Source organism: Homo sapiens, chromosome 7, assembly GCF_000001405.40.
Source record: "Homo sapiens chromosome 7, GRCh38.p14 Primary Assembly".
In the NCBI taxonomy this organism is placed as follows: Eukaryota; Metazoa; Chordata; class Mammalia; order Primates; family Hominidae; genus Homo; species Homo sapiens.
The window spans coordinates 141927160-141948503 of NC_000007.14; the positions used below are offsets into that span (position 1 = coordinate 141927160).

The following is a 21344-nucleotide window of genomic DNA, read 5'->3' on the forward strand; positions in this document are numbered from 1 at the left end:
TGCCACAATAAACATACGTGTGCATGTGTCTTTATAGTAGCGTGATTTATAATCCTTTGGGTATATACCCAGTAATGGGATCACTGGGTCAAATGGTATTTCTAGTTCTAGATCCTTGAGGAATCGCCACACTGAGCCTTTTAAGGATGTTTGCTCTTTCCAGAAGCACATTGGAAAACCATCACAGGGGGCTGAAGAAGAGTGACAGAATCTGTTTAATGTTTTAACAAGATCATCCTGGTTGCTGGATGAACAATACACGAAAGGACAATAAAGGGAGAAGGATGAAGGCCAGATGGAGATTGCATCAGTTAGATTTTGCTATACGAGAGATAACCAGAAAACTCCAGTGGTATACAGTGATAAGTTTTTATTTTTGTGCTTAGAGTTTCAGCTGATCTAGGGTGGCTCTGCTGATCTCAGGTGGATTTGTTCGTGAGTCTAAGGGTTGGATGGGGGTTGGCTGACCTAGGCTGGGCCCACATTTGAGGTCATGAAAAGTGTGTCTTTGATCTCATGTGGCTTGGCCACAACATTTTTAAGGCACCCTTCTCTGACTTGCACAAATTTTTATTCCCATATTATAAATGAGTAAACAAGTTCTGAAAAATGAAGTGGCTTGCCTACATTAAGCTTCTAGCAAATTGAAAAGCTACTTCTTGGATGAAGATCTCAACTTCAAATCCTCCACAAAATGCTTCTCCTAATGTCTAATGCCATTGAGATACATAGAGGAATGTTATTTAATATGTGCAATAATTTTTTGAGATAGGTATTACTACCCCATTTTATCAGTAAGGAAATTAAGACCAAGAAAGGGTAAGAAAACTGTACTGATTCACACAGCATATTAGAAACAAAGTGAAAACTCAAATTCAGTGGCTTGCTAAATTTTCATTGCCTTTTTTTTTTTTAAAGCATGCCACTGCTATCTAATAAAGATCACATTTATCTAAGCTTGCAAGGATCCAGGAACTCTTCCAATGATGAACTTAAACCAAATCCCACATATTCCCTATCTACTCCCCACTCCCACCCCAGGCCATTGGGCTCCTTTTAGAACCTGCACAGAAGTGTCTCCTAATCTTGGGGGAAATTAAACTGTCTACTAAAGAAATCACTAGATGTCTACATTTCCTGATCTTAAAAGTTTGCAGTTATTCTGTCATGAAATAGGAAGTGAAGCAACTACAGTTCTCTCTTCTCAAAACAGAAGGATTAGGATTTCCTTTCTGTTGTCTGAGTTCTGGGGCTTGCCTTTGGCTAGAGTTCTGTTGATATTTTTCTCCACCTAGACTCAGCCTTTCTTCCCTTCTCAACGGTAGCACTTATCCTTTCCCAACACAGTCAGAGAACTTGTATCTCCACCGGCTACTAATATAATTCCAATTTCCACCCCATCTCAAACACAAATTACTTCTGGTAATTCCCTTCAAGCAAGTTCTGACACCTGATGTGTTATCTCATGTTAAAAAATTGTAAGTGGCCATGCTAAGGAGCCAAAAATGATGAAACCTAGGAATGCAGAAGCAGAACTTAGTGTTGTAATAAAAAATATGATTTACAACAATCTTGTTTGGTATACATACAATGACATGTACAGTCATTACTGTGCTACATTGTTATTAGACACAAAATGGTATGTGCTGTACTTTGGTGACTATTATTTCCATCAGTTTTATACATGGTCTTCCTTATGGTTTAATTATTCTTACTCAAAACACAAAAGGCATCTCTTTTCTCTTTCTTATGCACCAAGCAGAGTATATAGCTGATGTCTTGTGAGTGTGGAGAACAGCCAGGGTACTCCAAGACTTGTCTTCCTCTTTCTTGCCTTTCTTCCAGTGTGGCCAAATGAACTCCCTGTTTCCTGTCTCAGGTGATTTCCATTTGACCCTGATGTTCCCTTTTTACTATGTGCTTATTCCGTGCCCCCAGCCAATGTTTCCCTGAGCAGCCCTTCTCTTTTCCTACTCTTCGTCGGCTGGACCAGTTCTAGATCAATGTGATGCCAATCAGTGCCAGGCTCCTTGGGGTCAGTAGGCTGTGCCTGGTATCAGGCTTTCTCCAGAACTGAAGGGATGAATATATTGTGATTATTGTTGCCTAAGAGACTATCCAAAATTTTAAAAATACTCAACAAATACAGCCAGGTACTCAAAACCTTCAGAGCAAAGGAAGCCTGCTTACCTAAATTTTGGTTACAAAGGAGTTACATATGTTATAATGGAGTTTCAGAAATATGACAAGGGAATTTTTAGCTTAAGTGTCTCTTCAGGGCTTTGCTGAAGAACAGAAATCTAGTGTGTTTGGCTCCCTTGGCTGCCTGGTTTTCTTCAAAGGGGTCTCCAAGAAGGTTCCTATCCTGCCCAGACCTCTCTCCATTCCCATAAACAATGCTGCTGTCCGTGCTGCTCCAAGCTCAGCACTAGGAGCCCTCCCCAAGGCCAAGCCTTAGTTCAGACTGAGGAGAGCCTCTGCTACCCTCGCTTGTGGAGTTAGGAGGGGCATGTGAATGGGGTTCCCTTGAGAACAGAGACGAAGTCACAGGACCTATGTTTATCCCTCTTCCACCATGGTAATCCCTAAATAATGTTTATAATTTCTCACTCTACAGTTACTCCCTAGTAGTATGGTATACTCTGAGGCTAAAATAAAACAAACCCTGTCAACAGACTAGGCCTTTTTGATCAGTCAGAAATGCTCAGTACTACAGAAGCGGACCTCATCTCTATACTAACTGAGTTGTTTCCGTAAAACTGATCCTGTCTCCTGGAGATGGCTAGCATCCAGTCCCCCAGTGCAGAAGAAAGAAGCTCAGTTTCCCAAATGGGCAAGGACCGCTACTGGTAGACAGATAGGTAAGTAAAAGAATCATTGGCCAGACGACCTGTATGGATTCAAAAAGAGTTGCAAGTATAGTTCTTGTCACAGGGAACTGTGATCATTTGGCATTCTTCTCACAGATCCTGCGGTAGCTGATGTCACATGATGCAGCATCAAATGTCTTTGTTAGGCCAATGGTCGCACAGTTGAAATTCTGATTCTGATTGGTAACACTAAATGAGAAAACAAAACAAAACAAAACAAACAAACAAAAAACAAAGCATGGTGATGGCCCATCATTTTAGCCCAGCCTCTTCCTGATTCCAGAGTGAGAGTCTTGCAGGAGTTTTGCCTGGAAGGGCAGCAGACTACCGGGCCCACACACGTCTCCATCTGCGTAGCCTCCTTTTTAGCTCAGATCCTTTTCCTAATCCAGCTCCGCAAATGCAGCTCTAAACCCACCCTTTCCTGTCAGCTCTCCTGTGAGCGTGTATGGATTCACAGTCTTGGACTAACTAACTCACTCTGGCATTTGGTTAGAAGCATCTCATGGGCTGTCTCTTCTTCCAAAAGTACTGTTTAGGATAGCATGCATGTTCACAGCAAGAGGACAGGAAGGAAAAGGAGAGAGGTTGTGCATCCCTTTCCAGACCATAGTGGCCTCAGAAAAACTTGGTGGAGGTATTTGTTGGCTCTCCCACCTCTTTTTCTGTCATTCAGTCTGTTTCAGTCTGACTGAAAAGGCTCTGGTTTCGGAGAAATGTCATGTGTTTGGGACTAGCTTTATGATATTTAACACATTTCTAAGCTTTACTTGTCCTCAGTTCAACTGTCTGTGAAATGGGGAGCGATAAAAGCTTTTCATGTAGCATCATGGGGAATATTTCAGGAAACAACATATGCAAAGTGTTTAGCATAGTGCTGGCATTAGCAGACACTGAATAAATGTCAATTTCCTCCTCTCTGTAGGGAAGCCCAGTTACAGGCTGGGGGACTGACTTGACCTCTGTCTGAATCACTATTTTTGTATAAACACTGGGAAGATTATTGATGTTCTCACCAATCCTCATCTCCATGGAACAATTCACAGGAGACAGCTCTTGGGGGTCAGAAGTTCATAGCTTTAAGACATAGACAAGTTGCTTATAATAACCTTTCTTAGATAAAGAAGGCATATCTGGGGAAACTTGTATGTACTTTGTAATAAAATGTGATCTGTGGGTTAAAAGACGAAGCCCTTTTGATCAGTCAGAAACACTAGTGTTATAGAAATAGATCTCATCTCTATACCAACTGGGTTGCCTCCATAAAACTGACCCTGTCTCCTAGAGATGGCTAGCATCCAGTCTAGACTCATATCTAGTCTGTTTGAAGTCAAGAGACTGAGCTTTTTTGATCAGTCAGAAATGCTCAGTGCTATGGAAACTAGCATCTATAGAGAGCTACAAGATACATCAAATGAATGCTATGTAGGTGGATTTGTTTGGATCTTGATATGAATAAAATAATTTGCTATATGAATACTCTTCTTTCTCCTTATGAAAGTTTGATCTCTTTCATAAGAAAACATTTATTAAAATGTGTCTCAGGGAATAGATGGGTTGGAAGAAAGGAGAAGAGCAGAACAGAGTCAAGTGTCAGCGTTTGAGCTATTCCAGGGTGAACCCAGCAATCTCAGGTTTGGTCTTTTGAAGCAAACCAAGATCCCCAGGAAACTGTGGCATGTTCACGTACTTGCCATTGAACACAGAGTTGTTGATCCAACGCCACCTTTTCTCTTCACGATGGTAAATTAAGCCAATAAAATACTTCTCAGCATCAGTTATGTCCTGAAGAAACTTCTGGAAATAAAAAAAAAATTTTACCAGTGAGTCTTTTAATGATGCCTCTCTTGAGCCAATGTGCCCATGATTATATCTGATCCTGGGAATAAGGAAGGCCGGTAGAGAACTCTGGGACCAGCTATAGCTGGGACTCACAACTAACCCTAAAGAAGTCATTGTCAAGATTCAGAGGGAATTTGGAAAACCTGAGGTCTTGTTAAAACACAGACTGCTGGGCTCCTGGTTAAGTAGGTCTAGTGAAGGGAACCAATAATTTACTTTTCTACAAAATGCCCAGGTGATACTGATGTTTCTGTCCAGGGACCACACTGTGAGAATGAAGGGGAAGGGGTACTGTACAATCTAAAACAGGGTCATTTAAAAAAATATGTCATGCTTCTATCCATAGGATTGTTTTTGTTGCCAGAAATTTTGTATGCTAAGTGAGGCTGAACCAAGTGCTAATAAAATGTGTTTCTATATATTGAGTACTTAGGAAAGGAAAACGGTGAGATTTAAAAGTGTATTGCTTTTAAAAGTGTAATCCAAGAAGAAATAAGCAAGTGCTTGTCAAATATTTGCTGATTTGACACTAGTCCTAGACATCTTTGTTCTGTAATTAATTGGTGAGTTACAAATCATTTCAGCCAGAAGTGTTTCCTATACTTGTCACATACGTCCCATAATCAGTGGGTATCCAAGTCTTATTCTTTCCATCCCCATGGCTATTTCCTTAGTTTCTCACTTTTCAATGTTCTCCTTTTCTGAAATATCTTATTTCATTACTTTTTAATTAATTACTGAATGTTCTCATTCACCAAACATCTCTCGAGTGTCTATTATATGCCATGCATTGTGTTAGGCTGAGGATGTGGAAACAAATATATTTCTCCTCAAAGAAATTATGATCAAGAGGGTTGGCAAACTACAACCAGTGGGCCAAATCCAGACTTCATCCTGTTTTGGTAAATGTTTTATTGGAATGCACCCATGCCCATTGTTTACACATTATCTACGGCTGCTTTCAAGTTACAACAGCAGAGACCAATGCCCTGAAAAGCTTAAAATGTATGTTATCTGACCCTTTTTTAAAAAAGTTTTCTGACCCATGGTCTAAAACCAGAATCCTTAATGCTGAACTCTCATGCTGGAAGCCATGGATGGTTTCCCAGGAAAACTATGAAACCACTGGAATGTTATGAAAAATATTTTGCTTATGTAATGTTTCTGGGAAGGGGTACATAGATTTTATCACCATTTTAAAAAAGTCAGTGGTCCCATCATGTTTGAAGAACCACAGGTTTAATGAGGGAAGACAACCAACTTAACTAGCATAAGGAGGTATCTCAGGTGTAGTACTAGGAAATTATATACTGGATCTGGAAGAGGCAGAAAGGAGGAAGCGATCATTCTACATAGATCTGAAGTTTTTCTAGAATGATAGATGAGGTGATACCTGAGATGAATTTTAGGAGATAGCTAAGTTTGTCAGACAAACTGTCAGGGAGAGTATGGACTTCCTGGAAGAGAGCATGGATTATAGGCAGGTGGGGAAGCAGCCTGGAGCTCTTGAGGAACTACGAGATGCTCAGCGTAGTTAGTGCAGAGGTGGCAGGGAGGTGGTTTGAGAGACAAGGCTGGAGCAAAGGCAGAGGCGGCACTGTGCAAGGCCTGATATGATGTAAGGTACATGGATGTGCTTTGGTCAAGGAATAGGCTGAGGTGGACATCCAGGCCAAAGTGACTCAGCGAGTTTAGGGAGCAGGCATATATATATATATATATATATATATATATATATATATATACTTGTTATATAACCTATTTGTGTAAGCTCATGCTTAGCTCAGAGCCACTATTGTTTGAAAAAGGTATAATTGACCTGCCGATGCTGTGCACGCAACTTGGCTTGGCTCAACGTGCCTTGACATGGTACAGGCTCTGGTGCCCAGAGAAAGAGAGAGAGAACCAAGGCTGTCCATCTTGCAGACTGATAGAGGGCAGCCAGGACATGGCTCAGCATGCATTCATGCCCAGAGGGAGAAAGAGTTAAGCTGCTGACCCTGAACGCTAAGGGAGAGCCGGCTGCGCAGCTGTGAATGGGAGCGGCTGGAGCAAGCAGCTGAGACAGACAGACAGAGAGTATGAGAAAGCTGCTGATGAAAGAGCTGCTGAATAAAACTACATTTCACCTGTGTATGGCCCCCTGAGTGTTCTTTCAGCTATCTGCCACCCACCCACTCCCCTAGGACCTTAGCATGGGCTGGAACCTGACCCTGAGTGTGACATTTGGCATGGTCATGAACCTGACATATGCCATGCTAGGAGAACTGGCGTTTAACCCACTTTAATTTGGAAAATGGTACAGTTTAGAGCCTTAGAGGTATTATAATGTCAGTTCTGAGGAGGATAGCTAGAAAGAGTGCAAAACTGGAGGCAAGGAGATGGATTAGAAGAATTCTGAAGAAATCCAGGTGAGAACTGAACTATTTGTTGTTGGCATAGAGAGAAAAGGACTTGTTTAACAAATAATTGAGGAAGAAAAGAGAAGGTAAAGTCCCAGAAAACTCTTAAGCCTTCAATCTTGGGTGACATGAGTACTCACCAGTATTTGGAATGCAACAGGAAGAGTGGGGGGGTCAAATATAATTGACTCAGTTTTGAACATAGTGAGTTTGTGGGCCTCTTGAAACATCGAAGTGGAATTTGGTATACTTGTTGGGAGGAGAAGGATGAGCTGGAGATACAGACTTGCGAGTCAGCAGCAAACCATTGCCATGATGACCTTTGTCTTTTTCTTTAACGTTTTTTTTTTTTTTTTTTTTTTTTTTTTTTGAGACAGAGCCTTGCTCTGTTGCCCAGGCTGGAGTGTAGTGGCACAGTCATGGCTCACTGCAGCCTCCGCCTCCTGGATTCAAGCAATTCTTGTGCCTCAGCCACTTAAGTAGCTGGGATTTCAGGCATGCACCACCTCACCTGGCTAATTGTTAGTAGAGACATGGTTTCACCATGTTGGCCAGGTTAGTAGTGATGACCTTTTTCATCACCAAGGAAAAGGTACATGGATGTGTTTTGGTCAAGCAAATTGGGATCCACAAAACTTAATGGGTGTGGCAGACTTGTCACACTTGCTTCTTCCCGTTGCCTTCCCTCCTTTCCTCTTTTCATTCCCCTGTCTTGCTCCTGTTTTTCTATCTTAAGACATTTTCCCTTGCTACCTGGGTACTTAGCCCTAGAGGGTTTGTAGCATCCAGATCCCTTGGTCATCTATTACCAAGATTCAGAAAGGAGAAGTTCTTACAAATTCTTCTAAATCACAGGAGGACTTTCTAGAGGAGGAATAAAGGGATAGAAGCGAGAGAAGCAAGAGTATAGTGTATGTAGCACAGATTAGAGTATGGGTTTTGGAGTCAGAGAGTTCTGAATTCAATTCCACGTTCTGTTATTTGACCTTGGGCAAATTACTTTTCTGTGCCCTAGTTGCCATTTATAAAATGTGGATAATAATACATCCTCATTATTATTATCATGATCATCAACTGCAAATTCAGTATGACCTGATTCTTACTTTTTCACACTACTAATTTTGTCAGTTCACGTCTTCCTTGTTTACTATGCAGACTGGGATGGTACATTGACATCACATCTATAAGGTATTCTTTTTGTTGTTAAACAACTTTTATACACATCATCTCATTTGGTCATTTGCTTCACTTTAAATGTCTTGGCCCATCCCCAGGATATCAGCTAATTACAGTGCGCTATAGAAAAGACCACAAGGTGCGAATTTCTGTGGTTAAATGAAACTGGAAAATCATGCTGCTTCACTGCTACTAAGAAGAATCTCCTAACCTCCAGTCCAGAACAAATAGCTTCAGTTTTTCAGCCAGCCACCTCTCCATTCCTCACTCCATCCCATCCCCACTCCCCCAAGTTTCTACCCCATCCCACCCACTGAGGCTGTGTGGAGTGTGTGGCTTTACTGTACCATTCCAGTGTTCTCACCAGTTTCTCTGGCGTGTTGACAATTGCCAATGTGGATCCTTTTCCTTTGCAAAAGTCCCTGCTTTCATTCCAAGATGATTCAGAAGTGGATAAGAAAAAACATCTTGCTTGATAAAATTCCCAGTCTTTGGGGCAGACTGAAGAGGTCCAAGAAAGGAGAGTACGAGTTTACTGGTTTGGGTTATGAATCCTGCAACTAAGTCATGAAACAGTGATACATATTTTTGCTTTGTTTTAACAATTATATTGGTAAAAATTATTCTCCATCCAGGAAGAAATTCCACCCAGTCTAGTCTGGTTCCTTGACAATAATATAAGGAGAATAAGGAGAAGAGCGCAGTGGCTGAATAAAGTTTCCATTAGTCATCCCCCTACAGGAACACCAAATTTGACAACTATCTACACACAAAAAAGCACATATACATACATGAGAACAAAAAATCAGATGAACACTCAGTACCTGGATAGCTGAAAGAGGCACTGCAGAGGGTAGGAAAGATAGTCTTGAATTGCTGACACCACCCCCACCCTATCCCTGCTGCAGTGACAGCATGGCATGGTAAAGTGTATGTGCATGGGAGAGGGAGTGTGCAGGGATTGTGAGACTTTACATTGGACTCAGTGCTGCCCTGTCACAGTGGAGGGCAAAACGGACCAAACTCAGCTGATACCCACCCATGGAGGAAGCATTTAGATGAGCGCTAGCCGGAGGGGAATAACCCATCCCAGTGGTTGAAACCTGAGTTCTGGCAAGCCTCGCCACTGTGAGCTGAATTGCTTTGGGGCCCTAAATAAACTTGAAGGGTAGTCTAGGCCACAAGGACTGCAACTCCTAGGCAAGTCCTTGTGCTGAGCTGGGCTTTGAGCCAGTGGAATTAGGGGGCACCTACTGAGATACCAGCCAGGGTGGCCAAGGGAATGCTTGTGCCATTGCTCTCCCAACCCCAAGCAGCACAACTTGCAGCTCCAAAAGAGACCCTTTCTTTCTGCTTGAGGAGAGGAGAGGGAAGAGTAAAGAGTACTTTGTCTTGCATCTTGGATGCAAGCCACAGTAGAATAGGGCACTAGTCAGAGTCGTGAGGTCCCCATTCCAAACCCTAGTTCCTGAAAGACATTTGTAGAGACACCTAGACATACCCTGGGCCAAAAGTGAATCCTCTGTCTTGAAGATAAGTACACAGTCCTGACAGGATCCCTTACCTGCTGATGAAAGAATTCTTGGGCCCTGAATAACAAGCAGCAATACCTAGGTAGTATGTTATGGGCCTTGGGTGAGACTGAGATGTCTTGGGCTTCAGATGAAACCCAGCACATTCTTCTGCTTGAGAAAAGAAGAGAGAAAAGTAAAGGGGGCTTTGTCTTGCACCTTATGTAACAGACTGGCCACAGAGAAGTAAAGGTCAGCTCTTGGGGTCCAAGATTCTAGGCCTTGACTCTTGGATAGCATTTCTGGACCTGCCCTGAGCCAGATAGGAGCCCACAGACATAAAGGGTAGGTTCTAGGCCTGGCAGCATTCGTGACAAGCTGACCAAACAGCCCCTGTGCCTTAAACAAAAATCAGTGGTAGTCTGGCAGTGACCCTGTGGGCCTGTGATGGTAGTGGTCATAGGGTGAAGCTCCTCTGCCTGCAGAAAGGGGAGGGAAGAGTGGAAAGAACTATGTCTCATGAATCGAGTTTCAGCTCAGCCACAGGAGGACAGAACACCAGGTAGATTTATAAGGTTTTTGACTCCAGTCCCTGGTTCTAAGATAGCATCTCCAGACCTATTTAGGGCCTGGTGGAACTCACTGCCCTGAAGGGGAGGTCACAGGCTTGGCTGGCTTCACCATATGCTGATTATAGAGCCCCAGGACATTGACAAAACATAAGCAGTAGCCATGTAGTGGTTACAGTGGGCCTTGAGTGAGACTCAGTGCTATGCTGGCTTCAGGTCTGACCCAATGCAGTCCCAGTGGTGGTGGTCACAGGGATGCTTGTGTCACCCCACTCCCAGGTCTGGGAAGGTCAGCATAGAGAAAGAGATTCTGTTTGGGAGAAAGTAAGGAAAAAGAATAAGAGTCTCTGTCTGGTAATCCAGATAAATCTTTCAGATCTTATCCAAGACCAACCAGGTGGGTACCTCTACGAGTCTGCAAGACCCACAGCATTACTGGGCTTGGGATGTCCCCCATGCAGATAGAGCTTAGGTCACAGCACCCAAGTCCTTTTGAATACCTGGAAAGCCTTCCCAAGAAGGATGGGTATAAACCCAGACCATGAAGACTACAATAAATACCTAAATCTTCTATGCCCAGACACTGATGAACATCCACAAGTATCAAGACCATTCAGGAAAACATGACCTCACCAGTTGAGGTAAATAAGGCACCAGGGACCAATCCTGGAGAAACAGAAATATGTGACCTTTTAGACAGAGAATCCAAAATACCTGTGTTGAGGAAACTCAAAGAAATTCAAGATAACACAGAAAAGAAATTCAGAATTCTATCAGATAAACTAAGAGATAGAAATAATTAAGAAGGATCAAGCAGAAATTCTGGAGTTAAAAAATGAAATTCACATACTGAGGAATGCATCAGAGTATATTAATAACAGAATCAGAGGGGTCACAGAAGTCAGAGGATACAAAAGAAAAAAGAATAAGAAACAATGAAGCACACTTGTAAGGTCTAAAAAATAGCCTCAAAAGGGCAAATGTAAGAGTTACTGGCCTTAAAGAGGAAGTAGAGAAATAGATAGGGGTAGAAAGTTTATTCCAAGGGATAATAACAGAGAACTTCCCAAACCTAGGGAAAGATATCAATATCCAAGTACAAGAAGGTTATAGAACACCAAGTAGATTTAAGCCAAAGAAGACTACCTTAAGGCACTTAATAATCAAACCCCCAAAGTTCAAGGATAATGAAAGGATCCTAAAAGCAGCAAGAGAAAAGAAGCAAATAATATACAGTGGAGCTCCAATATGTCTGGTAGCAGACCCACAGCGTTACTGGGCTTGGGATGTTCCCCAAGTGGAAATCTTATAGGCCAGGAGAGAGTGGCATGGCATATTTAAGTTGCTGAAGCAAAAAACCCTTTACCTTAGAATAGCGTATCTGATGAAAATATCCTTCAAACATGAAGGGGAAATAAAGACTTTCCCAGACAAATAAAAGCTGAGGGATTTAATCAACAGCACATCAGTCCTATAAGAATTGCTAAAAACAGCTCTTTAATCTGAAAGTAAAGGACATTAATGAGCAATAAGAAATCATCTGAATATACAAAATTCACTGATTATAGTAGGTACATGGAAAAACACAATATCACAACAGTGCAACTGTGGTATGTAAAGTACTCTTATCTTAAGTAGAAAGACTAAAAGATGAACCAATAAAAATGATAACTACAACAACTTTTCAAGACATAGACAGTAAAAACAAAGTTATAAATAGAAACAATAAAAAGTTAAAAAGTGGGAGACAAAGTTAAAATGTAGAGTTTTTATTAGTTTTCTTTTTTTGCTTACTTGTTTGTTAATGCAAGCAGAGTTAAGTTGTTATCAGCTTACAATAATGGGCTATAAGATAGTATTTGCAAGCCTCATAGTAACCTTGAATCAAAAAATATACAGTAGATATATGAAAAACAAAAAGCAGGAAATTAAATCATACCACCAGAGAAAATCACCTTCACTAAAAGGAAGACAGGAAGGAAAGAAAGAAGGAAGAGAAGATCAAAAAACAACCAGAAAACAAATAACAAAATGGCAGAAGTAAGTGCTTACTTATTAATAATAATATTGAATGTAAATGGATTAAACTTTCCAATCAAAGTACATAGAGTGGCTGAATGGATGAAAAAACAAGACCTAATGATCTATTTCCCACAAGAAACACACTCCACCTATAAAGACACATGCAGACTAAAAATGAAGGGATAAAAAGAGACATTCCATCCCAATGGAAACCGAAAAGGAGCAACAGTAGCTATACTTATTTCAGACAAAATAGATCTTGAGACAAAAACTGTAAGAAGACACAAAGGAGGTCACTGTATAATGATAAAGGGGTCAATTCAGCAAGAGAATATAACAATATAAATATATATGCATCCAATACTGGCACACCCAGATATGTAAGGAAAATATTATTAGAGCTAAAGAAATAGATAGTCTCCAATATAATAATAGCTGGAGAGTTTAACACTCTGCTTTCAGCATTGGACCGATCTTTCAGTTGGAAAATCAACAAAGTAACATTGGACTTAATCTATACTATAGACCAAATGAACATAATAGATATTTATAGAACATTCTATTCATCAGCTACAGAATACACATTCTTTTCTTCAGCATATGGATCATTCTCAAGGATAGACCATATTTTAGGTAACAAAACAAGCCTTAAAACATTCAAAAAATTGAAATAATATTAAACATCTTCTCTGACCACAATGGAATTAAATAGAAGTCAGTAACAAGAGGAAGTTTGGAAACTGCACAAATACGTGGAAATTAAACAATATGCTCCTGGATGACCAATCAGTCAATAAAGAAATTAAGAAAGGAATTGAAAAACTTCTTTTAACAAATGATAATGAAAACACAACATACTGAAACCTGTAGGATATTAAGACGGAAGTTTATACCTATAAGTGCCTGCATCAAAAAAAACCAAGAAAAAATAAAAACTTCAAACCAAAAACCTGATGACAAATCTTAAAGAACTAAAAAAGCAAGCACAAATTAAACCCAAAATTAGTAGAACAAAAGAAATAATAAAGATCAAAGCAGAAATAAATTGAAATGAAGAAAACAATACAAAACATCAATGCAACAAAAGTCGGCTTTTTGAAAAGATAAACAAAATCAATAAACCTTTAGCCAGACCAAAAAAAAAAAAGAGAAAGAGATGACCCAAATTAATAAAATCAGAGATGAAATAGGAGACATTACAATGGATGGCACAGAAATTCAAAGAATCATTAGTGACTGCTATGAGCAACTATATGCCAATAAATTGGAAAATCTAGAAGAAATGGGCAAATTCCTAGGCACATACAACCTACCAAGATTAAACCACAAAGAAATCCAAAACCTGAACAGATCAATAACAAGTAATGAGATGAAAACCATGATAAAAACTCTCCCAATAAAGAAAAGCCCAGGATCCAATGATTTCACTGCTGAATTCTGCCAAGTATTTAAAGAAGAACTAATACCAATCCTACTCAAACTGTTCTGAAAAATAGAGAAAGAGGGAATACTTCGAAATTTATTCTATGAAGCCTACATTACCCTGATACCAAAACCAGACTAAGACACATCAAAAAATGAAACTACACGCAAATATACCAATCAATATTGATGCAAAACACCTCAACAAAATACTAGCAAGCTGAATTCAACAACATATTAAAAAGATCATTCATCACGACCAAGTGAGATTTATCCCAGGAATGCAAGGATGGTTCAACATATGCAACTTAATCAATGTAATACATTATATCAACAGAATGAAGAACAAAAACCATACGATCATTTCAATTGATGCTGATAAATTATTTGATAAAAGTCAACATCCCTTCATGATTAAAACTCTCAAAAAACAGGGTATTGAAGGAACATCCCTCAACAAAATAAAAGCCATATATGACAGACCTACAGCCAGCATATATTGAATGGGGAAAAAATGAAAGCCTTTCCTGTAAGATCTGGAATATGGCAAGGCCGCACTCGCTTTCATCACTGTTTTTCAACATAGTGCTGGGAGGCTTAGCTAGAGCAGTCAGACAAGAGAAAGAAATAAAGGGCATCCAAATTGGAAAGGATGAAGTCAATTTATCCTTGTTTTCAGATGATATGACCTTATATTTGTAAAAACCTAAAGATTCCACCAAAAAGCTATTAGAACTGATAAACAAATTCAGTAAAGCTCCAGGATACAAAATCAACAGACAAAAATTAGTAGCATTTCTATATGCCAACAGTGAACACTCTGAAAAGAAATTAAGAGACTAATCCCATTTATAATAGCTACAAATAAAATAAAATATCTAGGAATTAATTTAGCCAAAGAAGTGAAAGATCTATACAATGAAAACTATAAAACATGGACAAAAGAAATTGACAAGGACACCAAAAAATAGAAAAATATTCCATGTTTGTGGATTGGAAGAATCAATATTGTTAAAATGTCCACTCTACTCAAAGCAATCTACAGATTTAATGCAATCTTTGTCAATAACCCAATGACATTATTCACAGAAACAGAAAAAATTATCGTAAAATGTACATGGAACCACAGAAGACCCAGACTGTCCAAAGCTATCCTAAGCAAAAAAATAACAAAACTGGAGGAATCACATTACCTGATTTCAAATTATACTACAGAGCTTTAGTTACCAAAATGCCATGGTACTGTCATAACAACAGACATATAGACCAGAACAGAAGAGAGAACCCATAAATAATTCCCTACGTCTATAGTGAACTCATTGTTGACAATGGTACCACAAACATGCATTGAGGAAGGGACAGTGTCTTCAATAAATGGTTCTGGGACACTGGATATTCATATGCATAAGAATGAAAGGAGACCCTTATCTCTTGACATATACAAAAACCAAATCAAAATGGATTAAAGACTGAAATCTAAAATCTCAAGCTATGAAAATACAAGAAAACTTCGGGGAAACTCTGTAGGACATTGAAGTGAGCAAAGATTTCTTGAGTAATATCCCACAAGCACAGGCAACCAAAGGAAAAATAGATAAATGAGATCATATCAACTTAAAAAAGCTTCTGCCCAGCAAAGGAAACAATCAACAAAGTGAAGAGACAATCCACAGAATGGAAAAAAATGTTTGAAAACCACCCATTTGACAAGGTATTAATAACCAGAATATATAAGGAGCCCAAACAACTGTATAGGAAAAAAAATCTAATAATCTAGTTAAAAATGGGCAAAAGATCTGAATAGACATTTCTCCAAAGAAGTTGTACAAATGGCAAATAGAAATATAAAAAGGTGCTCAACACCATTCCTCATTATAGAATTTCAAATCAAAACTACCGTGAGATATCATCTCAACCCAGTTAAAATGGCTTTTATCCAAAAGGCAGGCAATACCAATGCTGGAAAGGATTTGGAGAAAAGAGAACCCTCATACATTGTTGGTGGGAATGTAAACTAGTACAGCTATGGAGAAGAGTTTGGAAGTTCCTCAAAAAACTGTAAATAGAACTACCACATGGCCCAGCAATTACACTCTTAAGTATAGGCCCAAAAGAAAGGAAATCAGTATATTGAAGAGACATCTGCACTCCCGTTTTTATCGCAACACTATTCACAATAGCCAAGATTTGGAAACAACCTAAGTGTCCATCAACAGATGAATGGATAAAGAAGTGTGGTACATATACACAATGGAGTACTGTTCAACCATAAAAAAATCAGATCCTGTCATTTGCAACAACATGAATGGAACTGGAGGTCATTATGTTACATGAAATAAGCCAGGCAGAGAAAGACAAACTTCACATGTTTTCACTTACTTGCAGGAGCTAAAATTTGAAACAATTGAACTCATGGAGATAGAGCATAGAAGGATGGTTACCAGGGGCTGGAAAGGGTAGTTGGTGGGGAGGTATGGGGGAGAAGTGGGGCTTGTTAATGGGTACTAAAAAATAGAAAGAATAAATAAGATCTAGTATTTGCTGGCACAACAGGGTGACTATAGTCAAACATAATTTAATTGCAGATTTAAACATAACTAACAGTATAATTGGATTGTTTGTAATACAAAAGATAAATGCTTGAGGTGATGGATACTCCATTTACCCTGATATAATTATTACATATTGCATGCCTTTATCAATATATATCATGTAACTCATGAATATATATACCTACTATGTACTGAGAAAATTAAAAAATAAAAGCCAAAATAATATGTACAAAGAGAATGAACTGGAAGGTCGTTATGGTCCCTTTGAGCAAAAAAATTCCATAAGAATAAAGACAATGGGAGAAATCTCTAAGAATTCAGTGCATGAGAACCTAGGGGATGGGGAGTAGGTTGTAATCATGCACTTTACCTGTTCCATAGCTCCTTGTGGTAATGAAGCCGTTGGGACTTGGGGAACTGCTCCCAAAAATCTGTGAGACTAAAGTGAAAAGTAAACCTAAAGGTTATGGTATGATGAATACAACACAGAAACAGAAACATCAGAGTATGGGCTGTGTGACTCTGAATCATGGAGATGACAAGAAGCTCTTGGCCACTCTGAGCTAGAACATTTCAAATAATTTCTTTCTTTGAGCCTTCCATCTAACTACTATCATTATTTGTCAACTTGACACCCAAATCCTATTTCATGTCTCCTTTTTTTGATGTAGCCATAGGCATCAAATCCTGAGAAAAAGAACAGAAGAAAGGAAAAGTAATGGAGGAATTTAGTATCAGAGAGAAACTCTCACACTCCTATCGTATATAAACCTTTGACAGTGTTTTCTCCAAAGGACTGTTTGGAGTACTTCTCGCCCAGGCTCCACACAGCATCTTTGCTGTTCTTTCTACTTCTGGTGTCCCAGATTCAGTATGAAAATTCATAATCCTGGGCAACTCTGGGACTCTTTTCTCATCAGCACTGTATTAGCTCTAAGGATTGAAGCTAATTGGAACAAAATTTCAGGGCCAAGGGGATATTATCAGACAAGGAAGCAGGTGAACTTTAGGGAGATTTTCTATAAGCAGGGAAGGGTCCATTCATTTCTAGAAATCCATATAGGGGCCTCATTTCCCTGGGAACACTGGCTGTCTGAGCAGGCAGCCGCAGTGGCTTCAGAGGCTGGTCAAACATCTAATTGGGCTGCCAGTTATTTGTCCATTGTGGTTGAAGACCACTTTACTCTGACATCAAATTAGTTACTTACATTTATCTTAATGAAACAAATTGGCATTCACTTTTTATTTCAGTACCCCGTTTATAGACTCTAAGATGTAATAGCCTGGTTTTCATCAGAAACTACTTTGAGATTATAACTTAAGGACTCAATACATATTTTATGAGTATTTTCTCCATACAGCTCACTGTATTGGGTTGCCTCTGTTGATACTAAGATAAATGAGAAACGGTCTTTCTCCTAACGATGTCAGTAGTAATAGGTGTCTTAAGAGGAAGTGAGAGGATGTTGTTGGGAAAGGCTTCAGAAGGAAGCTGGTTTAATCGGGAGAGGAGAACCATGCCCCACTCATCTCTCTATCTCCCATAGCTACTGGCTATTAAGCACTTTCACATTCTATTACAATGATTAGATATAAATCATCCCCATATCCAGGAGAAAAACTAAGGATCAGAAATTTCCCTCAGTCTGCTCTTGGTTTTCTCATATGTAAAAGAAAGGGAATTAATTAGAAGATCTTTATGGACCCTTTGTACAAAAGAATTTCTTGGGAAAGGAGGCTGTGTGGAAGGTCTCTAGGAATTCAGCATAGAAGTAGCAGGAGGATGGGGAGAAGATTTACCACCATGCAGATTACCTGTTCCATAGCTCCTGGTGGTGGTGAAACCATCGTTACTTTTGTTAAAAATCTGTGGGACTGAAAAGAAAATCAGCTGTTGGCTCAGCCCCAAATGTGACTGCATGATGAATATGACAAACAAGTATCAGCACAGGGGCTGCTAGGGTACTGTGACTATTAGTGGGAAATACTGAACTCTCTGACTCAGTGAAGATGCATAAATGTGGTTTTGTGAATACGTTCCCTTATTCATATTTCTGTCCTGCTGTCTGACATGATAGGAATTGCACCTTCAGATTGCATCATGAGGAAGACACCTCTTAGCTAACTACTGCCTCCCACTCACGTTTCCTTCCTCATTTATTTTCCCTACTGGCTTCTGGGGCTAGAGAAGATTCTAGTTTCTGATTGCAGTAAAATCCTTTCATAGGAGGCTTCTTTAACTAGGCATTTGGATGAATTAATTTATATGTATACAAAGAGAAATTTCTTTCTCAGTTAAATCCTGTTACATTATACTTCAGCTCTTACCATGGCCTTGTCATTGGGTTGAACTGGAGCTGTATTTTAGATTTTGCCAACAATAACAAGCGCTGCCAAGTACTTCAGCTGAGATCACCCAAATAATACTCTACTAGCAAAAGCTTTGCGTGGCGTTCTAACCATCAGAAACTGGTAAGTTCTATATCTCCAAGGTAGACCAAGGAGCCTGGGCCACTGTGTGTGCTGGGGAGTGAGAAAGGCATTGCCAATTGACCTCAGGTTGGGTCAGTTAGTCTCAGGTGGAAAGACTTGGATATGTAACCTTTACACACAACCATGCATTCTGAGAGAAGAGTCAATGAGCAAGACAACATGAAGTCTGGGGCAAGAGGTTGCTCAAATACTCACAATAAAGTAGAAATAAGGTCATTCCAACAACTTTAAGCACTACCACAATAAGCCCAGAGATGATCATGTGCCAGTTCATGATGAAGGAGCTGCAGGGGCCTGTGAAGATTAGAGCACAGCAGCATCAGAATTCGGGTACAAGGCTGCTTTTCACTAGGACATATCCCAGCCTCTCGCTCAGAGTACCCAAAGCAAGGCAGGCTTGGAAGACAGGCATGACATTGACAGGTACCAGGAGGTGACCCAGCGTGGGCCGCGAACACAGAAAGAATCATGTATTGATTGGAGCCTTGGAACTTGGCATACTGCCTCTCCTTCACTCATTCCCTACTCCAGGCCTCAGCCTTGCCCTATTTGTGGCCTCCTAAATTCTGTCTAATAATTAAACCCTCTCCTGTATTTTGAGAACCCTTATCCTTGAAATGACCCTTGTTCCCAAGGACCTTAGTCTGTAGCCTTCACCATACTGACTTAAGTTGTCAGAAGCCTCAGTCTTCCAAATACCAGGGGTAGGTGACAGACAGGACAGGCATCCCTGAAGGTCTTGGCATTGGTCAACAGTCCATGCAGCCAAGACAGACAGACAGACTCACCTCTTTCTCCCTGGAAGGCTAGGCTTGCTTGCAGATGGGGGTCTTCCTGGTGGCCTAATGCTTGGTGTGGCAGGCAGGGGCCCCGTCTCCTGAGAATATGCTCCTTTTGCCCAAGCAACGTTCTTCCTTCTTCACAGTCTCTGCCTTGGTAGCATCCCCAAGAAATACCTCTTCCTGTTCAGTGGGGTTCTTGGCAAAGGGAGCAGGCGGGGCAAAGAAGGGAAGAGACTCTCTAGCCCTAGTGGTGGCAAGAGCAGACTTCCTGCCAGGAGAGTTCTAATGCAGAGGAACATTTTAAGGACAATTTGGAAAACAAAATACCTCAACACAGATTCACCCTTCCTCTGTGTCTAAATCTCCTTGAAATACAGTGGGAAGAGAAATGTAGTAAAATTTTAACAAACATTGAATCTGGATAAAAGGTAGCTGGAAGTTATTTGTACTTTCCTTACAACATTTCTGCAAGTCTGAAATTATGTCAAGTTAAAAATGTTAAGAAATCCAGTTGAAGACACTAATATGAATGAGCAGGTTCTTGCTGTTCCATTTGCTCCATTTGCTGGAGCTCTGCTCATTCCCCTTTATCATGGACTCCTCTCTGGCACCACCTGCTCACCTTCCAGACCTCATGGTGGCTCTTCAGTGTTTCTTGAACATGGCACTCTGCTGGATACAGCAGTGGGCTGGGGTGAACAATACTCAAGTCCTATTGTCAAGGAGTTTTTAATTTCGTGTTAAATTTGAAAATTTGCTTTTATTTTCCCTACTATGAAAACTACTGTGCTCATGACAAAAAAATGGCTGGAAAATATTAACAAGGAAAATTGAGAAAACAAAACCATTTATAACCTTGTACATTTAGTTATAGTCATTGCTAGCACCTCAGGGTGTATCCTTTCGAGATGAGTAGGTAGATAGAAAGATAGATGGATAGATAGATAGATAGACAGAAAAACACTGGTTCACAAAGAACAATGGGAACATATTGTACATATTGTTTTGCAATCTATCTGCTCAAGATTAAGCTAACACTATGTTATATATATCTTTTCATGTCAAAATATAGATTTTGATAATGTATTATTTAATATGTGCATAGCATTCAGGTGTAAAACTATATGATTTATTTATTCAGGTGTAAAAGTATATTATTTCTTTAACAATTGCATAACCACAAATCTTCTAGTAAAGTGTGGTGGACAAGAACAAAGTTTTAAAAATCAGTCCTGCTTTTGATTCCTGGAGCTGACCTTCACTAGCTGAACATCCTTGATTAAGTTACTGAGTCTCTTTACCTTCCATTTCTTTATCTATAAATAGGAGTAATTATAGTAAATACCACATAGGATTGTTCCGAGAAATGAGCAAGATAATGCTTGTAATTTCAATAGCGTGATACTCAGCATCTTAAACATAAATCCTTAGTATTCTAACTATTTTCTAAAACTCTTCTAACTATCTTCCCAATGCACAGTGAACAGCTAAGTGCATGCATCCTTTTACATGTCCTTAATAACTTTCTTGGGCTAAGTTATCAGAAATATAAATGCTGGATCAAAAGACATGTACATTTGGAGGGCTTTGGAACATTAAAGTTGTGTTTTGTTCTACTTGGATAGTCCTCTGTGTTTTTGAAAAATCTCATTGAACCTGATTTATCTGGTCACAAGGTAATTACTTCTAGACCCTAGATTGCT

The 21344-nt window shown here is 39.7% G+C and overlaps 1 protein-coding gene and 1 long non-coding RNA gene across 5 annotated transcripts, besides 1 other annotated feature; one reads left to right on the top strand and one right to left on the bottom strand.

Annotated features, from left to right (window-relative positions):
* Positions 1-197: 197 nt before the first annotated feature.
* On the bottom strand, positions 198-19815 carry CLEC5A (C-type lectin domain containing 5A). 4 transcript variants are annotated; one of them, XR_007059995.1, is made up of 8 exons: positions 19648-19815; positions 19055-19153; positions 18182-18241; positions 16737-16805; positions 8655-8791; positions 4561-4667; positions 2891-3059; positions 198-2073 (listed from the first exon to the last, which is right to left on the bottom strand). XR_007059995.1 is itself a non-coding variant. In NM_013252.3 (7 exons), exons 2-7 carry the CDS (start codon positions 19131-19133, stop codon positions 2945-2947), a joined length of 567 nt encoding a protein of 188 aa, NP_037384.1. In that variant the 5' UTR covers positions 19134-19153; positions 19648-19815; the 3' UTR covers positions 198-2944. The 4 variants fall into 4 exon arrangements, 3 of the variants coding, with proteins under 3 accessions (NP_037384.1, NP_001288096.1, XP_011514297.1); NM_013252.3 differs by having other exon boundaries at positions 198-3059; NM_001301167.2 differs by lacking the exon at positions 16737-16805 and having other exon boundaries at positions 198-3059.
* On the top strand, positions 2773-4690 carry LOC124901761 (uncharacterized). The gene is made up of 2 exons (XR_007060564.1): positions 2773-2861; positions 4416-4690. It is a non-coding gene; the product is annotated as an uncharacterized LOC124901761 (long non-coding RNA).
* Positions 18297-19496: an enhancer, noted in NCBI's record as "CDK7 strongly-dependent group 2 enhancer chr7:141645256-141646455 (GRCh37/hg19 assembly coordinates)". NCBI's record gives its function as "activates an origin of replication core promoter dependent on BRD2, BRD4, P300/CBP, MED14 and CDK7 cofactors, with strong dependence on CDK7, by STARR-seq in HCT116 cells {active_cell/tissue: HCT116}" and the evidence as "EXISTENCE:reporter gene assay evidence [ECO:0000049][PMID:35650434]".
* Positions 19816-21344: the final 1529 nt, after the last annotated feature.